The sequence below is a fragment of the Homo sapiens genome, chromosome 12, assembly GCF_000001405.40.
Source record: "Homo sapiens chromosome 12, GRCh38.p14 Primary Assembly".
Lineage (NCBI taxonomy): Eukaryota > Metazoa > Chordata > Mammalia > Primates > Hominidae > Homo > Homo sapiens.
This window is the reverse complement of record NC_000012.12, coordinates 122,418,749-122,441,702: the sequence shown is the minus strand read 5'-3', so window position 1 is coordinate 122,441,702 and position 22,954 is coordinate 122,418,749. Positions and strand designations below refer to the sequence as shown.

The 22,954-nt window shown below is 47.6% G+C and overlaps 1 protein-coding gene across 16 annotated transcripts in view, besides 5 other annotated features; it reads left to right on the top strand.

Annotated features, from left to right (window-relative positions):
• Positions 3,627 to 3,921: a silencer, noted in NCBI's record as "tiled region #9757; K562 Repressive non-DNase unmatched - State 23:Low". NCBI's record gives its function as "represses a minimal TATA promoter and a strong SV40 promoter by Sharpr-MPRA in K562 cells {active_cell/tissue: K562}" and the evidence as "EXISTENCE:reporter gene assay evidence [ECO:0000049][PMID:27701403]".
• Positions 9,578 to 10,079: an enhancer, noted in NCBI's record as "H3K27ac hESC enhancer chr12:122916171-122916672 (GRCh37/hg19 assembly coordinates)". NCBI's record gives its function as "activates a minimal SCP1, AML or CMV promoter by ChIP-STARR-seq in naive H9 embryonic stem cells {active_cell/tissue: H9 hESC(naive)}" and the evidence as "EXISTENCE:reporter gene assay evidence [ECO:0000049][PMID:30033119]".
• Positions 17,759 to 17,858: an enhancer, noted in NCBI's record as "active region_7222". NCBI's record gives its function as "activates an Ori minimal core promoter by ATAC-STARR-seq in GM12878 lymphoblastoid cells {active_cell/tissue: GM12878}" and the evidence as "EXISTENCE:reporter gene assay evidence [ECO:0000049][PMID:35858748]".
• Positions 18,747 to 22,954, top strand: part of CLIP1 (CAP-Gly domain containing linker protein 1) — a 151,488-nt gene continuing 147,280 nt past the window's right edge. For 15 of the 16 annotated variants that reach the window (XM_047429321.1, XM_047429320.1, XM_047429318.1 and 12 more), the window contains exon 1: positions 19,034 to 19,182. The gene's annotated coding sequence lies outside the window, so the exon portion shown is untranslated. Of the gene's footprint in view, positions 18,786 to 19,033; positions 19,183 to 22,954 lie in introns of those variants that run through there. The other variant, XM_047429314.1, reaches the window with a different exon arrangement.
• Positions 18,968 to 19,317: a silencer, noted in NCBI's record as "silent region_5015". NCBI's record gives its function as "represses an Ori minimal core promoter by ATAC-STARR-seq in GM12878 lymphoblastoid cells {active_cell/tissue: GM12878}" and the evidence as "EXISTENCE:reporter gene assay evidence [ECO:0000049][PMID:35858748]".
• Positions 19,338 to 19,737: a silencer, noted in NCBI's record as "silent region_5014". NCBI's record gives its function as "represses an Ori minimal core promoter by ATAC-STARR-seq in GM12878 lymphoblastoid cells {active_cell/tissue: GM12878}" and the evidence as "EXISTENCE:reporter gene assay evidence [ECO:0000049][PMID:35858748]".

The following is a 22,954-nucleotide window of genomic DNA, read 5'->3' as shown; positions in this document are numbered from 1 at the left end:
TTGATGTCTCTCTCAGCCTGGCCATCATGACAAAACCCCATCTTTACTAAAAACGCAAAAATTAGTGGGGCATGGTGGCACATACCTATAATTTCAGATAGCCAGGAGGCTGAGACACCAGAATCACTTGAACCTAGGAGGCAGAGGTTGCAGTGAGCTGAGATTGTGCCACTGCACTCCAGCCTGGGCAACACAGTGAGACTTTGTATCTGAATTTACAAAAAAAGAGAATTCTGGACTGGATATAAAGATTTAGCAGGCTGGGGGCCGGGCGCAGTGGCTCAAGCCTGTAATCCCAGCACTTTGGGAGGCCGAGGCGGGTGGATCACGAGGTCAGGAGATTGAGACCATCCTGGCTAACGCGGTGAAACCCCGTCTCTACTAAAAATACAAAAAATTAGCCGGGCGTAGTGGCGGGCGCTTGTAGTCCCAGCTACTCGGGAGGCTGAGGCAGGAGAATGGCATGAACCCGGGAGGTGGAGTTTGCAGTGAGCCGAGATTGCGCCACTGCACTCCAGCCTGGGTGACAGAGCGAGACTCCGTCTCAAAATAAATAAATACATAAATAAAGATTTAGCAGGCCGAGCACAGCAGCTCAAGCCTGTAATCCCAGCACTTTGGGAGGCCAAGGTGGGTGGATCACTTGAGGTCAGGAGTTTAAGACAAGCCTGGCCAACATGGTGAAACCCCATCTCTACTAAACATAGAAAACTTGGCCAGGCACAGTGGCTCACGCCTGTAATCCCAGCATTTTGGAAGGCTGAGGTGGGCGGATCATGAGGCCAGGAGATTGAGACTATCCTGGCCGACATTGTGAAACCCCATCTCTACTAAAAAAATACAAAAATTAGCTGGGTGTGGTGGCACATGCCTGTAATCCCAGCTACTCGGGAGGCTGAGGCAGGAGAATCTCCTGAACCGGGGAGGCGGAGGTTGCAGTGAGCCAAGATTGCGCCACTGCACTCCAGCCTGGGTGACAAAGCGAGACTCTGCCTCAAAAAAAAAAAAAAAAAATTAGGAATTGTTTCTGTATATTATGGATAGTAATTGAGGGTAAACTGATGAGATTATCCAAAGTGCTGTAATCCCAGCACTTTGGAAGACCAAGGCAGAAGGATTACTTGAACCCAGTAGGAAGAGAAGAGGAACTAGAAGAGATCCCTGAGGAATGTCAGTTTTAAGGGGTAGGTAGAGATTTGCAAAGAGATTGAAAAGGAACAGCCAGAGAAGACAGAGGAAAATAGCAGAGTATGGTGTTACAGAAAACATAGCTGAGAAGGGGATGTGGAAAGAGGACATATCATTTAGCTATGGCTGAGTAACAACCTATCCCAAAACTTAGTAGTTTAAAGCTGGAACCATTTATTTCACTCATAATTCTGTGGGTTGGAAATTTAGGCTGTCCTTAGTTGAGTGGTTCTTCTGGTCTCTGCTGGGTTCCCTGATGCATCTACAGTCAGTTGCAGTTATCCAGGCAGCTCTGCTTGTAGAGTTTGACATGAATAATTGTATTCACCGTTTTTTTTTTTTTTTTTTTTTTTTTTTTTTTTGAGACGGAGTCTCGCTCTGTCGCCCAGGCTGGAGTGCAGTGGCGGGATCTCGGCTCACTGCAAGCTCCGCCTCCCGGGTTCACGCCATTCTCCTGCCTCAGCCTCCCAAGTAGCTGGGACTACAGGCGCCCGCCACTACGCCCGGCTAATTTTTTGTATTTTTAGTAGAGACGGGGTTTCACCGTTTTAGCCGGGATGGTCTCGATCTCCTGACCTCGTGATCCGCCCGCCTCGGCCTCCCAAAGTGCTGGGATTACAGGCGTGAGCCACCGCGCCCGGCCTGTTTTTGTTTTGAGACAGAGTTTTGCTCTTGTTGCCCAGGCTGGAGTGCAATGGCGCGATATTGGCTCACTGAAACCTCTGCCTCCCAGGTTCAAGCAATTCTCTGGCCTCAGTCTCCCAAATAGCTGGGATTACAGACATGTGCCACACGCCCGGCTAATTTTGTATTTTTAGTATTTTCTCCATGTTGGTCAGGCTGGTCTGAAACTTCCGACCTCAGGTAATCTGTCCGCCTCGGCCTCCCAAAGTGCTGGGATTACAGGCGTGAGCCACTGCGCCCGGCCGCATTCACTTTTTACAATATGCCATAGACAGACTAGGCAACAGTGAAAAAAATGCTATTAAGAGCTCAGGTGGGTCAAATTCTTGTCTCCACTGCTCAGATGAAACTACTACTACCAAAGTCACCAATGATAGCCATACCACTAAGGTCACTAAATGATATGACTGTTAATAATGTTGGCTATAGCAATTTCAGCTAAACCATGGGGGCAAAAGATTGCTAAGGGGAAACAGAGATACCAGGCATAAAGCTCAAGAAGCTTGTCTAGGAAATCTATTGAGGGACAGTTTTGTTTAGTTTTATTTTGTTTTTAAGATAGAAGAGCTCGAATGTATTTACATGCTAATGAGGAGTCAGTTAAGAGACAAGGTAGAGGCTGGGTGCGGTGGCCCACGCCTGTAATCCCAAGCACTTTGGGAGGCCGAGGTGGGCGGACCACTTGAGGTCAGGAGTTTGAGACCAGCCTGGCCAACATGGTAAAACCTGTCTCTACTAAAAATACAAAAATTAGCCAGGCGTGTTGGCAGGCACTTGTAATCCCAGCTCCTACCTGGGAGGCGGAGGTTGCAGTGAGCTGAGATTGCGCCACTGCACTCCAGCCTAAACAACAGAGCGAGATTCCATCTCAAAAAAAAAAAAAAAAAAACAAAGAAAGAGAGACAAGGTAGAGGGCTGGTGCAGTGGCTCATGCCTGTAATCCCAGCACTTTGGAAGGCCAAGGCAGGAGGATCACTTGAACCCAGGAGTTTGAAACCAACCTAGGCAACAAAGCAAGATCCTATCTCTACCAAACAAAAACAAAAACAAAAACAGATAGGGTAGAGGATAGATGCTGGAGAAAAATTGGATTACTCATGCATTCGACATCAATGTTCAGCCTGAGGTTTACACAGGGATGCAGGAAAGTTAAATAATGGTAAGATAAACTACCTTGGCTGGGGATGGTGGCTCACCATGCCTGTAATCCTGGCACTTTGGGAGGCTGAGGAGGGAGAATTGCTTGATCCCTAGGAGTTCAAGACCAGCCTGAGCAACATGGTGAAACCCTGTCTTTATAAAAAATTCAAAAATTAGCTGGGTGTGGTGGTGTGTACCTATAGTCCCTGCTACTCAGGAGGCTGAGGTGGGAGGATAGCTTGAGCCTGGGAGGCGGAGGTTGCAGTGAGCTGAGAACGCGCCACTACACTCCAGCCTGGGCAACAGAGTGAGACTCTGTCTAAAAAAAAAAAAAAATCTTCAAGCGGCTATTTCTATTTTCTTCACAAAGTCCTTTGTTTATCAGTCTGCTAGCCATTAATTTCTTTTTTTTTTTTTTTTTGAGCTGGATTGCCACCTTGGCCTCCCAAAGTGGTAGGATTACAGGCATAAGCCATGCGCCCAGCCTAATTTGGTTCTTATTGAAGTATTTGCTCCAGATAAATTGCGCTCTTCCCAAGACAGTAGTCCTGTTCTTTCAGTCTTTCTGCTCTGCCACCTTGGCCTGATGGCTTTTGTCATCATCCTCATCACTGCAGGGTAACAACATGGCTGCTTTGGCCCCAGACAGCACACCTATGTCTGTGCCCATTTATCAGGAGAGGAAAAACTTTTTCCCAAAAGCACCTCTAGCCGACTTTCCTAGGGGAAGCCTGAGGAGGTGAGCATAAATTGTTGGGCACATTGCCATGCCACATAAAATAGAGGTTTGTTTGGTACAAAAGGGGAGTGAATCTCGGGGAGGCAATTAGCAATGTTAGCCACAGCTGGGTCCTGTAACGCGGCGTCCCAGTTCTGTGTCTGAGTGGTTGGAGTCCGCTCCTAACATATGCTCTTTCTTGGCTCAGTCAGGACTCCGTGCCTCCTCCCTGCTGAGTCAACCTCCCCTCCAATCGCTGGCACAGCTGACTCCTCTGAATCTCTGCCATGATACTGCCAGAATGGGTCCCAGAGTAGGCACCCAAAGCTCTCAACCAGGCATTCATGCTGCTGAGTGTCTAAGGAAAGTCTCGGAGCACAAATTGGATCTTCCTTACTTCTGACCTTGCCACGTGCATCTTAAAAATGTTGGCATGGGGCCACCACCCTGCCCAAGGGTTTTCTTCCAGATGCTCAAATATGGAGTGGGGACACAGGCTCCCTTCCCTGTCCCAGATCTCAGTCAATAGATCTGCCTCCCTCACCTCTGTCCCTCTTCCTTTCTCCCCATTGACTCCTGTGCCTGGAAGGACACTGCTCTTTTTCATTTCTTCTATGTTATATCTTCCTTCTTACCATTTTTGGCCTGCTGGCTAAGTCCGTGTGTGTGTGTGTGTGTGTGTGTGTGTGTGTGTGTGAACAGGGTCTCGCTCATCGCCCAGGCTGGAGTGGCTAAGTCTTAATGTCAGAGAGGAGTTTCTTCTGTATATCATAGCAAAAACTCTGGCCTTCAGGGTCCTTGATATGACAAATGAAAGATAAAGGAATTAAAAAAATTCTTTGTTGCTTAACCATGCTGAGATATCAAGCCACTTTGTTTTCTCTGCAAAATCCTATTTGGGGTGGCACCAATATTGTAAATGCAATTAATGTCACTGAGTTGTACACTTATGGTTAAAATGGGCCAGATGCAGTGGCTCACACCCATAATCCCAGCACTTTGGAAGATCAAAGGAGGAGGATCACTTGAGGCGGGAGTTCCAGAGCAGCCTGGGCAACAAAGCAAGACCCTCGTCTCCCAGGAAAAAAAAAAAAAGATTAAAATGGAAAAGTTTACGTTATATATAATTTACCACAATCTAAAAAATTCATAATGTATTATATTAAAACCCATTGAGTTACATACTTTTTTATTTTTTTGAGTCAGAGTTTCCCTGTTGTTGCCCAGACTGTAGTGTAATGGTGCCATCTCGGCTCACTGCAACTTCTGCCTCCTGGGTTCAAGCGATTCTCCTGCCTCAGCCTCCCAAGTAGCTGGGATTACAGGCATGCGCCACCATGCCCAGCTAATTTTATATTTTTAGTACAGATGGGGTTTCTCCATGTTGGTCAGGCTGGTCTCAAACTCCTGACCTCAGGTGATCCGCCCGCCTCAGCCTCCCAAAGTGCTGGGATTATAGGCGTGAACCACCGCATCCGGCCCGAGTTACACACTTTAAATGGGTGAATTGTAGGGTATGTAAATTATATCTCAAACTGTTTTTAAAATCCCATTTGAATGTCAAAACCTGAATATCAATTCCTATTTTTTTTTTTTTTTTTTTTTTTTTGCTCTTCTTGGGTAGCAACCCTACCTTCCCTCTCTCCTTCCTTCCAGTCATGGCAAATCCCTTGGGCGGTCTGAGACCAAGGTCTGGTCTGAAGAAAGAAAAGAAAAGAAAAATATCCAGGTGGATGGTTCACACCTGTAATCCCAGCACTTTGGGAGGCCCACGAATGCAGATTGCTTGAGCGTAGGAGTTCAAGACCAGCCTGGGCAACATAACAAGATCCTGTCTCCACAAAAAATACAAAAACTAGCCCGTGTGGTGGCATGCACCTGTAGTCCCAGCTACTCAGGAGGCTGAGGTGGGAGGATCATGTAGGCCTGGGAAGTCGAGGCTGCAGTGAGCTGTGATTGCACACTGCACTTCAGCCCAGGCAACAGAGTGAGACTCTGTCTCAAAATAAATAAACGAATAAAAATTTAGGGCCTGGCGCAGTGCCTCATGCCTGTAATCCCAGCACTTTTGGCGGCTGAGGCGGGTTGATCACTTGAGGTCAGGAGTTCGAGACCAGCATGGGTAACATGGTGAAACTCTATCTCTACTAAAAAATACAAAAATTAGCTGGGTGTGGTGGCATTCACCTGTAATCCCAGCTACTTGGGAGGCTGGGGCAGGAGAATTGTTTGAACCCGTGAGGTGGAGGCTGAAGTGAGCCAAGATCGCACCACTGTATTCCAGCCTGGGCAACAGAGTGAGATTCTATCTCAAAATAAAATAAAATAAAATAAAATAAAATAAAATAAAATAAAATAGCCTGGCAGAGGCTGAATATTCCTTGTACATGATTTTTTTTTTTTTTTTAGATTTCTAGCCAAAATTTAATTTTGGTCTCTTTGTACAGTTAGATGATAGAGTAGGAAGGCTGCGATTAATCCAGTTGTCAGAGTTGAACACTAAGAGCTGAATCTGTACAATAATAAAATATTAGAGTTGGGAAGAACTTTAGTTCAAACTGACTCCTGTTTATTTATTTATTTATTTATTTATTTATTTATTTATTTTTAGGGACAGGGTCTTGCTCTGTTACCCAGACCAGACTGCAGTAGCACAATCATAGCTCACTGTAGCCGTGAACTCAGGCTAAGGTGATTCTCATGCCTCACCCTCTTGAGCAGCTGGGAATACAGGTGTGAGCCACACCCATCTAATTTTTTAAGAAGCTTTTTTGTATCGACGAAGTCTTGCTATGTTGACCAGGCTGGTTTCAAACTCCTGGACTCAAGTGATCCTCCTACCTCAGCCTCCCAAAGTGTGGGGATTACAAATGTGACCCACTTCACCTGGCTGAAACTGCCTCCGAATTTAAAAATCTCTTCTCTAAAATCTCTCGTCTACCTGGTTATCATGCATTCTCTACTTGACTTTTTTTTTGAATAGTTTATTCCTTTTATTTGTTTATTTTTTATTGATATGAGATTCACATAACATAAAGTTAACCATTTAAAAATAAACAATTCGGCCAGGCGTCGTGGCTCATGCCTGTAACCCCAGCTCTTTGGGAGGCCAAGGTGGGTGGATCACCTGAGGTCAGGAGTTTGAGACCAGCCTGACTGACATGGTGAAACCCTGTCTCTACTAAATATACAAAAATTAGCCTGGTGTAGTGGTGTGCACCTGTAGTCCCAGCTACTTGGGGGACTGAGACAGGAGAATTACTTGAACCCGGGAGGCAGAGGTTGCAGTGAGCTGAGATCGAGCCACTGCACTCCAGCCTGGGCGACAGAGTGAGACCATCTCAGAAAAAAAAAAAAAAAAAAAAAGCACAGTTATTTAGTCTGGGCATGGTGGCTCATGCCTATAAACTCAGCACTTTGGGAGGCTGAGGCAGGAGGACTGTTTGAGCCCAGGAGTTTGAGACCAGCCTGGGCCATGCAGGAAGACCCTGTCTCTACAAAAATAAAAATAAAAACAAAAACAAATAAAATAAACAATTCAGTGGCATTTATACATTCACAATGTTATGTGACTACCACCTTTCCTCTAGTTCCAAATTATTTCCATCATCCCAAAAGGAGATCCTTTTTTTCTTTTTTTTTGAGGCAGAGTCTTGCTCTGTCGCCAGGCTGGAGTGCAATGGTGATCTCGGCTTACTGCAACCTCCACCTCCCCAGTTCAAGCGATTCTCCTGCCTCAGCCTCCTGAGTAGCTGGGACTACAGGCGTGTGCCACCATGCCCAGCTAATCTTTGCATTTTTAGTAGAGACGGGGTTTCTCCATGTTGGCCAGGATGGTCTCAATCTCTTGACCTCATGATCCGCCCACCTTGACCTCCCAAAGTGTTGGGATTACAGGCGTGAGGCACAGCACCTGGCATTTTTTTTTGTTGTTGTTGTTTTTGAGATGGAGTCTTGTTCTGTTGCCCAGGCTGGAGTGCAATGGCGAGATCTCGGCTCACTGCAACCTCCCCCTCCTGGGTTCAAATGATTCTCCCACCTCAGCCTCCCAAGTAGCTGGGATTACAGGCATGCGCCACCACACCCAACTAATTTTTGTGTTTTTAGTAGAGAAGGGGTTTTGCCATGTTGGCCAGGCTGGTCTCAAACTCCTGACCTCAGGTGATCTGCCTGCCTTGGCCTCCCAAAGTGCTGGGATTACAGGCGTGAGTCCCTGGCTCCAAAAGGAGACTGTGTACCTCTTAAGCAGTTGCTCCTAACTCTCCCCTCCTGCAGCCCCTGACAACCATTAATCAGCCCGCCAGCTCTACGGATTTACCTCTTCTGGACATTTCATGTAAAGAATCATACAATATGTGGCTGGGCGCGGTGGCTCACGTGTATAATCCCAACACTTTGGGAGGCCAAGGCAGGTGGATCACTTGATGTCAGGATTTCAAGACCAGCCTGGCTGACATGATGAAACTCCGTATCTACTAAAAATACAAAAATTAGCTGGGCATGGTGGTGTACGCCTGTAGTCCCAGCTATTCAGGAGGCTGAGATAGAAGAAATCACTTGAACCCGGAAGGCGGAGGTTGCAGTGAGCCGAGATCGCACCATTGCACTCCAGTCTGGGTGTCAGAGTGAGACTACATCTCAAAAAATATATATATATTGTATGATTCTTTTTTTTTTTCGTTACAGAGTCTTGCTCTGTTGTCCAGGCTGGAGTACAGTGGTGCAATCTTGTCTCACGCAACTTCTGCTTCCTGGGTTCAAGCATGTCTCAGCCTCCCTAGTAGCTGGGATTACAGGTGCCTGCCACCATGCCTGGCTAATTTTTTTTTTTTTTTTTTTTTAGTGGAGATGGGGTTTTGCCATTTTGGCCAGGCTGGTCTTGAACTCCTGACCTCAAGTGATCCACCTGCCTTGGCTTCCCAAAGTGCTAGGATTACAGGTGTGAGCCACCGCACCCGGCCAAGAATCATACAGTAGGTGATCTGTTGTGTCAGGCTTTTTTCACTCAGCATAATGTTTGCAAGGGTCATCCTGGCATGTATCATGCATCAGTACTCTTCTTTTTTTTTTAACAGCTGAGTAATGTTCCACTGCTCGGAGAGACCACAATTTGTTTATTCGTTCATCAATCGATGGACATTTGGGTTGTTTCCACTTTTTCCTACTGTGAACATGTGTGTACATATATTTGAGTCTGCTTGATTTCTTTTTCTTTTGAGACAGTCTTACTCAGCCGCCCAGGCTGAGTGCAGTGGTGCAATCTCGGCTCACTGCAACCACCGTCTCCTGGGTTCAAGCGATTCTCCCGTCTCAGCCTCCCTAGTAGCTGGGATTTCAAGCACCCGCCATCACGCTCTGCTAATTTTTGTATTTTAGTAGGGCAGGGTTTCACCATGTGGCCAAGCTGGTCTTTTTTTTGTTTTGTTTTGTTTTGTTTTGTTTTTAGTAGAGATGGGGTTTCACCATGTTAGCCAGGATGGTCTCGATCTCCTGACCTTGTGATCTGCGCGACTTGGCCTCCCAAAGTGCTAGGATTACAGGCGTGAGCCACTGCGCCCGGCCTTTGGTCTTTTTTTTTTTGAGATGGAGTCTCACTCTGTTGCCCAGGCTGGAGTGCAATGGCGCAATCTTGGCTCACTGCAACCTCTGCCTCCCAGGTTCAAGTGATTCTCCTGCCTCAGTCTCCTGAGTAGCTGGGACTACAGACACGTGCCGCCACACCTGGCTAATTTTTTTTTTATTTTTAGTAGAGACAGGGTTTCACCATATTGGCCAGGCTAGTCTTGAACTCCTGACCTTGTGATCTGCCCACCTTGGCCTTGCAAAATGCTGGGATTACAGTGTGAGCCACCGTGCCTGGCCTGGCCAGGCTGGTCTTGAACTCCTGACCTCAGGTGATCTACCCGCTTAGGCCTCCCAAAGTGCTGGGATTACAGGGATGAGCCACTGCACCCAGCCTTTATTTTATTTTATTTTATTTTGAGGTGGAGTCTTGCTTCTTTGCCCAGGCTGGAATGCAATGATGTGATCTCGGCTCACTGCAACCTCCGCCTCCCGGGTTCAAGCAATTCTCCTGCCTCAGCCTCCCCATTAGCTGGGATTACAGGCACGTGCCAACACGCCCAGCTAATTTTTGTATTTTTAGTAGAGATGGGGTTTCACCCTGTTGACCAGGCTGCTCTCAAACTCCTGACCTCAAGTGATCCACCCGCCTTGGCCTCCAAAAGTGCTGGGATTACAGGCATGAGCCACCGTGCCTGGCCAAGTCTGCTTGATTTTTGCTGAAGATAGAATCAACTTTCCATGTACTCAACAAATATTTGTTGAATTAGATAAGAACTGCTGCATCAAACGCAAATTTCACAAATGTTTTGCTTTAGTTGATAAAAGTCACAGAATCTTAAAAATGTTTGTGGTTGGAAGTTTAAAAGAGATCTCGTTCAACCCCCCCTCATCGTGAAACTGCACACACTCAAAGTACTAGTCTATTTAGATGGCCCTAAATACAGTTTACATCATGGTGTGTGGTGCCCTATTGATATTGTTCTTTGTTAACTGAATGTGTACAATGCAGTCTTTGTTGTCACAAGATGGTTCTCTTTGAGAAGTGGTTTTATGAATTTAAATTTAATAGGCACTGGGTGTGGGGTGCGCCTGTCATTTCAGCAGTTTAGGAGGCCGAGAGGTAGGGAGTTTGTGGCTGAAGTGAGTTATGATTGCACCACCAGCCTGGGCAACAGAGCAAGACCCTGTGTCCAAAAAATATATATATATATACACATATAAAATATTACTTATATATATAATTATTTATAATAAAAATATATTTTTATATATATATAAAATTTAGTAGCTTGTCATTCTTTCACAGTTTTGCTTTTTTTTTTTCAGATGGAGTCTCACTCTGTCACCCAGGCTGGAGTGCAGTGGCGCAATATCAGCTCACTGCAACGTCCACCTCCCAGGTTCAAGCAATTCTCCTGCCTCAGCCTCCCGAGTAGCTGGGATTACAGGCATGCACCACCACGCCCAGCTAATTTTTTTGGATTTTTAGTAGAGATGGGGTTTCACCATAGTGGCCAGGCTGGTGTCGAACTCCTGACCTTGCAATCCACCCGCCTCGGCCTCCCAAAGTGCTGGGATTACAGGCGTGAGCCACCGCACCCAGCCGCTGAGTCGCTTTTTTATGAAATGAACTAGCACTAGCTCCCTATCTTTGGAAATGTTTTGGAAATGTTAACATTTCCAAATGTTGACAAGGGTTGTGGTCTGGCATATTATACCCACCTTGGACATAAAACCAGGGGAGATCAGGGAACAGTGATTACTCCACGCTGATTTAGTAAACCTGTGACCAGTAATAGTCAACAGTTTGAGGACAGGGACTTGATCTTCACTGCTATAGCCCCAGTACCTCGAATAGTGCTTGGGACTCAGCAGGATTTCAGTAAATCTTTGTTGAATGGGCTAATCAGTTGGATTCTGATTTCTGAAGCAATATTAATAAAAGCAGAAGTAATTTAAAAAATAAGCCAGGCACAGTGGCTCATGACTATAATCTCAGCACTTTGAGAGGCCAAGGCAGGCAGATTGCTTGAGGTCAGGAGTTAGAGACCAGCCTGGGCGACATGCAAAACCCCATCTCTACTGAAAATAGAAAAATTAGCCTGGTGTGGTGGGTGCCTGTAATCCCAGCTACTGGGGAGGCTGAGGTGGGAGGATCACTTGAACCCAGGAGGTGGCGGTTGCAGTGAGCCAAGACTGGGCCACTGCACTACAGCCTGGGCGACACAGCGAGAGACTGTCTCAAAAAAAAAAAAAAAAAAAAAAGCAAGCTATATGTATTACCTTAAATACTTAACTTTTTTTTTTTTTTTGAGATGGAGTTTCATTCTTGTTACCAAGGCTGGAGTGCAGTGGCGCAATCTCGGCTCACTGCAACCTCTACCTCCCGGGTTCAAGCAATTCTCCTGCCTCAGCCTCCTAAGTAGTTGGGATTACAGGCACCCACCACCACGCCCAGCTAATTTTTGTATTTTCAGTAGAGATGGGGTTTCACCATGTTGGTCAGGCTGGTCTCGAACTCTTGACCTCAGATGATCCACCCGCCTTGGCCTCCCAAAGTGCTGGGATTACAGGCATGAGCCACTGTGCCCGGCCCTTAATTTTTTTGTGTGTAGTGAGCACACTTAAAATCTACTGTCTTACTAATTTTCAAGTATATAATGTTATTAACTGTGGTCACCATTATGTATAGTAAGGAGTTAAATCCCTAATTGTGACCTATCTACTATGGTTCAGGAACTTTAAAAAAGAGAAAGGAAAAATAACACCTTTCATTTTTTTCTTTTTTATAAAAATTTATAGTAATAGACACAGGGTTTTACTATGTTGCCCAGGCTGGTTTTGAACTCCTGGGCTCAAGGGATCTTTGCCTCCCAAAGTGCTGGGATTACAGGCGTGAGCCACTGCACCTGGCTAAAACATCTTTAATTTTAGAAGTGTGCTTATTTTGACAGCTTTTGTCTCATTTTTCTATTTAAAAAATTTTTTTTTCACTTAGTGCCTGAAATCAAATCATTTTCTGTTGTAAAAACCTATAAATCCTTACATCTTCATAGCAGTTTATGAATTTTTTTTTTTTTTTTTAGACAGGGTCTTGCTCTGCTGCCCAGGCTGGTGTGCACTGGCTGACTCCAACCTCCAACTCCTGGGTTCAAGCGATCCTTCCGCCTCAGCCTCCCAAGTAGCTGGGATTACAGGCATGCACCACCACCACGCCCGGCTAAGTTTTGTGTTTTTAGAGATAGAGTTTCACCATGTTGGCCAGGCTGGTCTTGAACACCTGACCTCAGGTGATCCACCCACCTTGGCCTCCCTAAATGCTGGGATCACAGGCGCAGTTTATGAAATATTTTTGGCTGGGTGCAGTGGCTCACACCTGTAATCCCAGCACTTTGGGAGGCCGAGGTGGGCAGATTATCTGAGGTCAGGAGTTTGAGACCAGCCTGACCAATATGGTGAAACCCCATCTCTACTAAAAATACAAAAAAAATTAGCTGGGCGTTGTGGCACATGCCTGTAATCCCAGCTACTCGGGAGGCTGAGGCAGGAGAATCGCTTGAATCCGGGAGATGGAGGTTGCAGTGAGCCGAGATCATGCCACTGCACTCCAGCCTGGGCAACAAGAGCGAAACTCAGTCTCAAACAAAACAAAACAAAACAAAACAAGAAATATTTTCAAACCACTATTTTTTACTGTATTGTCCTTGAATGGTGATAAGAACTATTAGTCCCTTAGCGAGAGATTTAAAATCTCTCTAAACTGTAATGAATTAATTTAGACATATTTATTAGTAATTTTTTCAGGATCTGTGGGATTGTAGCTATTTTGTTGCCTTCATTTTGCTTGCCTTAATTTTATGTAATGAACACCTATTGTTCTTTAAAAAAAAAGAAGACAAAATACAAGGAAAAAAGTCTCTAGTTATTTAGAATATAGGAGTCTTACACCACATCCTTCAAAAAGCTAATCTACTGTGGACCCTGCATCCAAGGGATGCAGACACAGCAAGAAATAAGAGTCAACAATCCCTGCTCTCGCTGGGCCCAGTGGCTCACGCCTGTAATCCCAGCACTTTGGGAGGCTGAGACAGGCGGATCACAGGTCAGGAGTTCAAGACCAGCCTGGCCAATATGGTGAAACCCCGTCTCTACTAAAAATACAAAAATTAGCTGGGCATGGTGGTGGGTGCCTGTAATCCCAGCTACTCGGGAGGCTGAGGCAGGAGAATCACTTGAATCCAGGAGGCGGAGGTTGCAGTGAGCCAAGATTGCACCACTGCACTCCAGCCTGAGCGACAGAGACTCATTCTCAAAAAAAAAAAAAAATTCCCCACTCTCTGGAAATTCACGTTCTTGTAGGGATGGAAGGAAACAGATAATAAAACAAAACAAACCTGTTGTACTGCCGAAACCTGTCACAGAATCAATGCTAAAGAGCTGGGGAGAAAAAAACCACCAACACCCATGATTTTACGGAGAATAATCTCTACTCATTTTGGTTGAGGATCTTAATTCCTTCTTCTTCTTCTTTTGTTCTTTTTTTAAAGAAATTGGGGCTGGGTGCAGTGGCTGACACCTGTAATCCCAGCACTTTGGGAGGCCAAGGTGGATGGATCACTTGAGGTCAGGAGATCAGCCTGGCCAACATGGCAAAACACTGTCTCTATTGAAAATAGAGACAGTATCTCTACTGAAAATACAAAAATTAGCTGGGCGTGGTGGCGCGTGACTGTAGTCCCAGTTACTCAGGAGGCTGAGGCAGGAGAATCACTTGAACCTGGGAGCCGCAGGTTGCAGTGAGCTGAAATTGCGCCATCGCACTCCAGCCTGGTGACAGCGCGACTCCATCTCAAAAAAAAAAAAATGAGCTGGGTGTGGTGGCTCACACCTGGGATCCCAACATTTTGGGAGGCCAAGGCGGAAAGATCCTTTGAGCCAAGGAGAGATCAGTCTTGGCAACATAGTGAGACCTCATCTCCATGTTTAAAAACAACAACAACAACAACAACAAATAAATGAAAGTAATGTTTTTTTGTTTGTTTGAGATGGGGCTTTGCTCTGTCACCCAGCCTGGATGGAGTGCAGTGGCTGGAACACGGCTCACTGCAGCCTCAACTTCTTGGGCTCAAGCCATCCTCCCACCTCTACCTCCTGAGTAGCTAGGACTACAGGTGCACACCACCACACCCAGCTTGCTTATTTATTTATTTATTTATTTATTTATTTATTTATTTATTGAGATGGAGTCTCGCTCTATTGCCCAGGCTGGAGTGCAGCGGCGCAAGCTCAATGCAACCTCCGCCTTCTAGGTTCAACTGATTCTCCTCCCTCAGCCTCCTGAGTAGCTGGAACCACAGGTGCATGCCACCATAGCTGGCTAATTTTTGTATTTTTAGTAGAGACTGGGTTTCGCCATGTTGGCCAGGCTGGTCTCAAACTCCTGAGCTCAGGCAATCCACCTGCCTCGGCCTCCCAAAGTGCTGGGATTATAGGTGTGAGTCACTGTGCCCGGCCAATTTTTTATATTTTTTTTTTGGTAGAGATGGGGCCTTGCTATGTTGCCCAGGTGGGTCTCCAACTCCTCAGCTCAAGCAGTCCTCCCACCTTGGCCTCCCATATTGCTGGGATTATAGGTGTGAGCCACTGCTCCTGGCCTTGCACATGGTTTTAAAAAATAAAATACATTCAGGTTTATAATTAAAAGCAGTCTGGGCATGGTGGCTCATGCCAGTAATCCCAGCACTTTGGGAGGCCAAGATGGGAGGATTGCTTGAGCCCAGGATTTTGAGACCTGGGCAACATAGACAGACTCTGGCTCTACTAAAAATTAAAAAAAATTAGCTGGGCATGGTGGCACGTGCCTGTAGTCTGAACCAGTCTGGAGGCTGAGGTAGGAGGATCACTCGAGCCCAGGAGCTCCAGGTTGTAGTGAGCTATGATTGCACCACTGCACTCTAGTCTGGGCAACAGAGCAAGACCCTGTCTCAAAACAAAACAAAACAAAACAAAACAACAACAACAAACAAAAACAAAAAAACAAAAGAACAAAAGAAAAGAAAAGCAACAGTTCTCAGTTCTTCTACCTCACTCCTACCTAGTCTTAACCCTGTTCCCCAGAGACTATTAATTTTTTGCTTTTAGTTCTTCTGGTGTTAACTTCCATCTCTCTAAAAATATTGTTGTGGGCCAGGCACGGTGGCTCACGCCTGTAATCCCAGCACTTTGGGAGGCTGAGGGGGACAGGTTGCCTGAGCCCAGGAGTTTGAGACCAGCCTGGGCAACATGGCAAAACTCCATCTCTACTAAAAATACAAACAATTAGCTGGGCATGGCTGTGCATGCCTGTAGTCCCAGCTACTTAGGAGGCTGAGGTGGGAGGATCATCTGATCCCGGGAAGTAGAGGCTGCAGGGAGTCATGATTGCAGCACTGCGCTCCAGCCTGGGTGACAGGAATGAGACCTCATCTCAAGAAAACAAAAACAAAAATACATAAAAATATACTTGTGTTATTTATCAACTGTAGGCATTATCTATTGACTTTCTGTTATGACTAAGGCACGACTACCTCTCCTCTCCACACAATCCTGCCACTATTTTTAATTATTCCTATTGGTTACGTTAATGATATCATTAAACCTTAATTTTTTGGGGAAAAAAAAACAGAAAACAAAACCCTAGGTATTTACCTACCTCCCCGCTTTGTAAAATGAAGACTTGAGAGCTCTTATTTTGCATTCTACTTCTGCAACATCCCTTCCACCTCCCAATGTCTCATCAATTGAGCTGTTCTCATATTTACAGAAGACATGCATTTAAGAAAGCACTGTGGCAGTCGGGCGCGGTGGCTCATGCCTGTAATCCTAGCACTTTGGGAGGCCGAGGTGGGCGGATCACGAGGTCAGGAGATTGAGACCATCCTGGATAACACAGAGAAACCCCCTCTCTACCCAAAATACAAAAAATTAGCTGGGTATGGTGGTACGTGCCTGTAGTCCCAGCTACTTGGAAGGCTGAGGCAGGAGAATAGCTTGGCCCTGCAAGGCGGAGGTTGAAGTGAGCCGAGATGGTGCCACTGCACTCCAGACTGGGCGACAGAGCGAGACTCAGTCTTAAAAAAAAAAAAAAAAAAAAAGCACAGTGGCTAGATCTAAAAACAGAATGTAAATATTGAAGGAGGAACTTTGAGTCCTAACAGTGGCCACCTGGGGTCTGAGCCCTGTCAATGCCCTGGTAGTAGGGCTGAGACCAGGCCTTGCTCACACAATTGAAGGAGGCAGTGAAGGTAAACAATATTGCGATATGCTAATTTTTTTTTTTTTTTTTTTTGGAGATAGAGTCTCCCTCTGTCGCCCAGGCTGCAGTGCGGTGGTGCTATCTTGGCTTATTGCAACCTCCGCCTCCTGGGTTCAAGCAATTCTTCTGCCTCAGCCTCTCTAGTAGCTGGGATTACAGGCATGCGCCACCATGCCCGGCTAATTTTTGTATTTTTAGTAGATACGGGGTTTCACTATATTGGCCAGGCTGGTCTCGAGCTCCTGACCTCGTGATCAGCCCGCTGTGCCCGGCTGATATATTTTTTAAAAAATAAAAATTAATGGCCGGGCACGGTGGCTCACGTCTGTAATCCCAGCACTTTGGGAGCCCAAAGCAGGCGGATCACGAGGTCAGGAGATCGAGACCATCCTGGCTAACACGGTGAAACCCTGTCTGTACTAAAAAAATACAAAAAATTAGCCGGGCGTGGTGGCGGGCACCTGTAGTCCCAGCTACTCGGGAGGCTGAGGCAGGAGAATGGCGTGAACCCGGGAGGCAGAGCTTGCGGTGAGCCGAGATCGCACCACTGCACTCCAGCCTGGGCGACAGAGTGAGACTCCATCTCAAAAAAAAAAAAAAAAAAAAAAATTAACGCCAAGACTCCATGATGAACAAAATGATATAATTATAAATAAATAAGCAAATGATGAACATGACAATGACATAGAATAACCCATGAGAACAAGCAAATATACACACACACACACACACACATATATATACATATATATATACATGTGTATATATATATATATTTTTTGAGACAGAGTCTCCCTCCGGCACCCAGGCTGGAGTGTAGTGGCTTGAACTCTGGTCACAGCAACCTCCGCCTCCCGGGTTCAAACAATTCTCGTGTCTCAGCCTCCCGAGTAGCTGGGACTACAGGCATGCACCACCATGCCCAGTTAATTTTTGTATTTTTTGTTAGAGACGGGGTTTCACCATGTTGGCCAAGCTGGTCTTGAACTCCTGTCTGCAGGTGATCCACCCACCTGGGTCTCTCAAAGTGCTAGAATTACAGGCGTGAGCCACCACACCCAGCCCCAAAACAATATTTTTAATAAAGACAGGCTCAGCCTACTGAGTAGAGAAGAAAAGACAAGCCCATAAGTGTTCCTAGCTGAACTCCCCCATTAGAAGTGGTCTGTGCCTCATCCTATGACATCTATGATTCCACAGCTTGCTGATTACAGCTGAAGACTGTTTAGATTAGGGGGTGAGGCGCGCCTTTCAGATTAGGAATATGGATATGGGATTTCAGGAGTACCACCACCACCTGACCTTGCAGCCTGTAAATTAGGGCGATGTTGAATTAGGTAACAGCATTTCGAGGGATTTCAGACATGAATGGAGAGGAGGGGCCAGGAGACAAATTTACATAGTTCAGAACTTCGTGCATTACCAGAGCAGTTCCCTCTTCCTGCTGGTCCAGGCAGCACGGTGCTTTGAATAAAGGTCAGCTAGAGGGGTCACCCGCCGATTATTCTCTTCTACTGGCAAGGAGGAGGAAGCCCCTGCCCCCTTATCCACCACAAAATCCTGGGCTTCCCCGACAGCTGCAAATTCCTCCCTGGAGATGTAAGGCTTCTGGGGTTGCCATGGTCCATGGGAGTGAAATGCTGGCCGCCCTCTGCTACCCCAGCCCCGAGCAGGCTGTTGCAGCCTTCCCTCCTGTCCCTTTCAAAAGCTTTTAAAGGAAATCCCAGGGGGGAAGGAGGATGGGACACTAACCAGGGCTTCCGTCCAAGCAGCCAGGGCGAATAAAAGGGGCTTTTCTCAAACGAACGGAGCAAACCCTGGGATCGTTTCAAAGGATTTTTAACCCGCGGTCGTTCCCGGAGGGAAGTGGGGAGCAGATACAGTTCTTCCCAAGCTTAACCTGCTCTACAGTTCCTTTCAGCATTTTCTCCAGGGACGCCTCATCCAGGGTCTTTCCCTGGAGGGAGGCGAGGGCAGAGATGATCCTTCCCAATCCCCAACTTAACCTGCTTCGGAAGCGCCTTGCAGCCTGTTTCAAAGGATTTCTCACCCTTGTCTGGCGGGAAGGGGAGGGCAAACAAATGAATCAGCCCCAAAGAGCGGGCTGAGGTCGAGGCTGAATGGGGCTCTTGGGTGTGACTTGCAAATTCTGGGAACACTTTGCAGAAATGACGAGAAGCCCCTCGGAGCAGGCCTGTGGGTTTTCCCTCGCACCTTGCTCCCCAAGCCGGGGCTCGGGAGGGTTCGAGGGCGGAGCGGCGGGCGCGCCGGGGCCAGGGTCCTCCCGGGGCCGCGGTGGGCGCAGACAAAGAGGCGGCGGGGCGGCGCGGGGCCGGGCGCGGGCCGCAGGGCCGGTGCGGACTCGAGGGGCCGGGCCGGCCGGGCCGGCCGGGCGGGCGCGGCGGCGGAGCGCTGGGAGGAGCCGCGCGGCGTCTTCTCCTGGCAGCGCGCGCCCGCCCGGCCCCGCGGCGGCGGCGGCGCGTCACGCTCTCCCCCGCCCCGAGCCGACGAGCCGGGAGGCGGGAGGCGGCGGCCGCGGCGGCTGCTGCTGCTGCAGTGGGACAGGTGGCGGCGACCGGCGGCGTCCGAGGAGGTGAGCAGGGGGCGGCGCGGGCCCTCTCCCTTTCCCGGCACCCCCTGCTCCCCTGCCGGCTTCCCGGCCTGCGGGGCCCGCCCAGGGTCGGGTCGGGGGTCGAAGCCCGGCGTCCGGGAGCGGGGCCGAGCCTCGCGCGCCGGAGCCGTCCGGGAGGGGACCGCGGGAGTCTCGGGTGGCCGGCGCCGGAGGCCGGGGGTCCCTGGGGGGCTCCTCCGGAGCTGGAAAAGTGGCGGCCCTGTCAGCGCCGAGCCGGGCCTTCGCTTCCTCCGCCCGCCTCAAGATGGAGCTTGGACTCCTTGCCCCTGCGCCGCCCCAGGCGCCGCTCTCTCCCTGGCGCCCCGCTCCCTCTCCTGGGCCCCGGGGCGGATGTGGGATCGGCCGGACCCCGGGAGGCCGAAGCCGGGCGGGACCTGTTGCCCCGGGCGCCGCGCCTGTCACCTGAGCATTCCTCAGGCCCCGGGTGCCCGGCGCCCGCGATCCGGCATGGAGGGCACCCTGGCCCGGCCTCCCCCGCTGCCCCGGCTTTTGTTTTCCTCTCAAGTGGGGCTGTGATTCTCGGAGACCGGGGAAGGCTGGAGGTGGCCAGATCGCTCTCGGGTTTCCGAAATCACACCGCTGCCCGGTAATCCGAACCTTCTACCGCGGCAGGGGATTGGCGCGGAAGGCAGATGACACTTGTTCAGAGGTTATTTTACAAGCAGAACCTAGCGATTGCCCGAATTGGAAGGTCCTGCCTTTCAAAAATCGGGTTTTGATTCGGGGGTGAATCCTGAATCCGGCTGTTTCTCCACTTCATGTGGCTTTTCCATCTGGCAGGAGCCGAGCGCCACCCCCTCCTCCCTGCACAGCCCCACCTCTTTGGTATGAAGAAATTACACGTTGTCCGTCATCGGTTTAGATACCTGTTTTTAGCAAAACTTGGGCGCCAGTGAACTGTTTTTTAAAACAAAGGGTGGAGAAGATTCTGTAATTGTGTGTGTGTGATTCAGCAGCCTGGCCTTCTTCCTCTTTTAGGACAGTGGCCCCTAGCAGCTCTATAAGTATTAAGTGCTGTGGCCACTGCTGTCATTAGGGTTATGATTCTGGCTGTTCTTATTATTTGATTTGTGTCACTACTGTTAGCGATGGTATCCACGAATCAGGAGAGTATCCCAGAGTCAGGAATGTGTTTGTTTGACTTTTAGATTTAATGATAACCTTTAGCAAGAATCCCCAGGCATGTCGCTTCTCAGACTTGGGGCCTTTTTTTCTCTGTAAATTATAACAATGAACATTTATTGAAGGCATCTTGTGGCCAGGCTCTGGGCTAGCTTTTTATGTGTTTTATTTCATTTAATCAACCCTAACCCAGTGAGCGTGCTGTCGTCATGTGCATTCGGCAGGAGGGTCATAGAAAGGTCAAGTAACTTGACCAGGGTTATACAGCTAAGCACCTGAAGTCAGAATACCTTTTACCAGCATGTGAACTCAGGTATTCTGACTTCAGGTGCTTAGTTATTCGATTAGTATAGGGAATCTGTGGCAAAAAGCAAGGCTAGTCTGTCTGTCTGTCTATCCATCCATCAATCAATCAATCAATCAATGAGAGGGAGCCTCAATCTGTCCCCCCGGCCAGAGTGCAGTGGCGTGATCTCAGCTCACTGCAATCTCGGCCTCCCAGGTTTAAGCGATTCTCGTGCCTCAGCCTCCTGAGTACTGGAATTACAGGTGCCCGCCACCACGCCCGGCTAATTTTTGTATCTGTGGTAGAGATGGGGTTTCACCACGTTGCCCAGGCTGATTTCGAACTCCTGGGCTCAAGTCATCCACCTGCTTTGGGCTCCCAAAGTGCTGGGATTACAGGTGTGAACTACCGCACCTGGCCCCAAGGCTGGTCTACATTAAAGCAAAGTTGAAGTGGGTAATTGCTTGGCCAAAGGCTTGTGCCCGATTTTTAAGGTTCAGAGAAAGCAGTTAAGTACATCTTCCCACTAGACCTAGTTCAAAGGGGAAAACTGAAACCGGGTGGGACCCTGGGTAGGTATTTTGCCTGAAGATCAAGATTTTGCCCTTCCCTATTTTTTCAATCATTGCTTCAGCTCCAGCTTGCACTTCAGCATGACATAAGCTAATCTGGTTTCTGTCCTATTGAGGAGTTTAGAATCTGATATCCTTATCTCTTTTTTTTTTTTTGACATGGAATTTCACTCTTGTTGCCTAGGCTGGAGTGCAATGGAGTGATCTCGGCTCACTGCAACCTCTGCCTACTGGGTTCAAGCGATTCTCCTGCCTCAGCTTCCCGAGTAGCTGGGATTTTAGGTGCCTGCCACCATGCCTGGCTAATTTTTTGTATTTTTTTAGTAGAGATGGAGTTTCATCACGTTGGCCAGCCAGGCTGATCACACCTGACCTCAGGTGATCCGCCTGCCTCAGCCTCCCAAAGTGCTGGGATTATAGGTGTGAGCCACCACGCCTGGCCTGATGTCCTTATCTTAAAAAAAATTTTTTTTACCTAGTGGCTAAAATTCACTCTGTCACATCCCATGTGACTCATAAGGGACATGAACTAACTCAGTCATGTTTGATTCTTGCTTTTTTTTTTTTTTTTTTTTGAGACAGAGTCTCGCATCTCGCTCTGTTGCCCAGGCTGGAGTGCAGTGGTGCAACCTCCGCTTCCCAGGCTCAAGCAATTCTCCTGCCTCAGCCTCCCGAGTAGCTGGGATTACAGGCACACACCACGGCACCGGGCTAGTTTTTGTATTTTTAGTAGAGACAGGGTTTCACGATGTTGGCCAGGCTGGTCTCGAACTCCTGACCTCAAGTGATCCTCTCACCTCGGCCTCCCAAAGTGCTGGGATTACAGGCATGAGCCACTGTGCCCGGCCGATTCTTGCTTTTTAAGTGCTGTCTGCTGGGATTCGAAAGCCAGTGGATGGTGTATAAGAGATGAGTTGATTCTCTTATGGCCCATACAAAGGTAGGCACCTTTGAACCTTTCACATACTGGGCACCTGGTTCTTCGTTATTACTTACAGGTAGATTTCTGGTCTTCCTTGAATAGATATATCAAGGCCAGGGTCTTCACATTTCGGGACCCTTGCAGAATTCTGTGGAGTTCCATGTACTCAGTAAACGTTTCTTATTTTTTTTTAATTAATTTTTTTTTTTTTGAGACAGAGTCTCACTCTGTTGCCCAGGCTAGAGTGTAGTGGTGCAATTTTGGTTCACTGCAACCTTTGCCTCCTGGTTCAAGTGATTCTCCCACCTCAGCCTCCCAAGTAGCTGGGACAACAGGAATCTGTCACATGCCTGGCTAATGTTTGTATTTTTACTAGAGCTGGGGTTTCACCATGTTGGCCAGGCTGGTCTCCAACTCTTGAATTCAAGTGATCCACCTGCTTTGGCCTCCCAAAGTGTTGGGATTACAGGTGTGAGCCACCGTGCCCATCTGTTTCTTGGTTAATTGAAAATATAAGGTTCATAAATGTCAGATTGATTTTATAGAAGTCAAACCAAAGGAAAAAACAGAAGGTAGTATAGTAAAGTCACAGGGAGAGGGTTTAATATTTGTTAACATTACAAGAGAATTTTGTCTATATATTAACTAAATCGAGACTTTCACTTTGTATGACTTTTCACTATCCAAATAATCAGCTTCTTTCTTCTCTGAGAGGTCAAATGTGTTTTTCTCTGATATGAAGAGTAGACAATGTTTATTAGTCATAGCAAGCCTGTAGTTCTCCTTTGCAGTATTTTTATTTTATTTTATTTTTTTAGACACAGGGTCTCG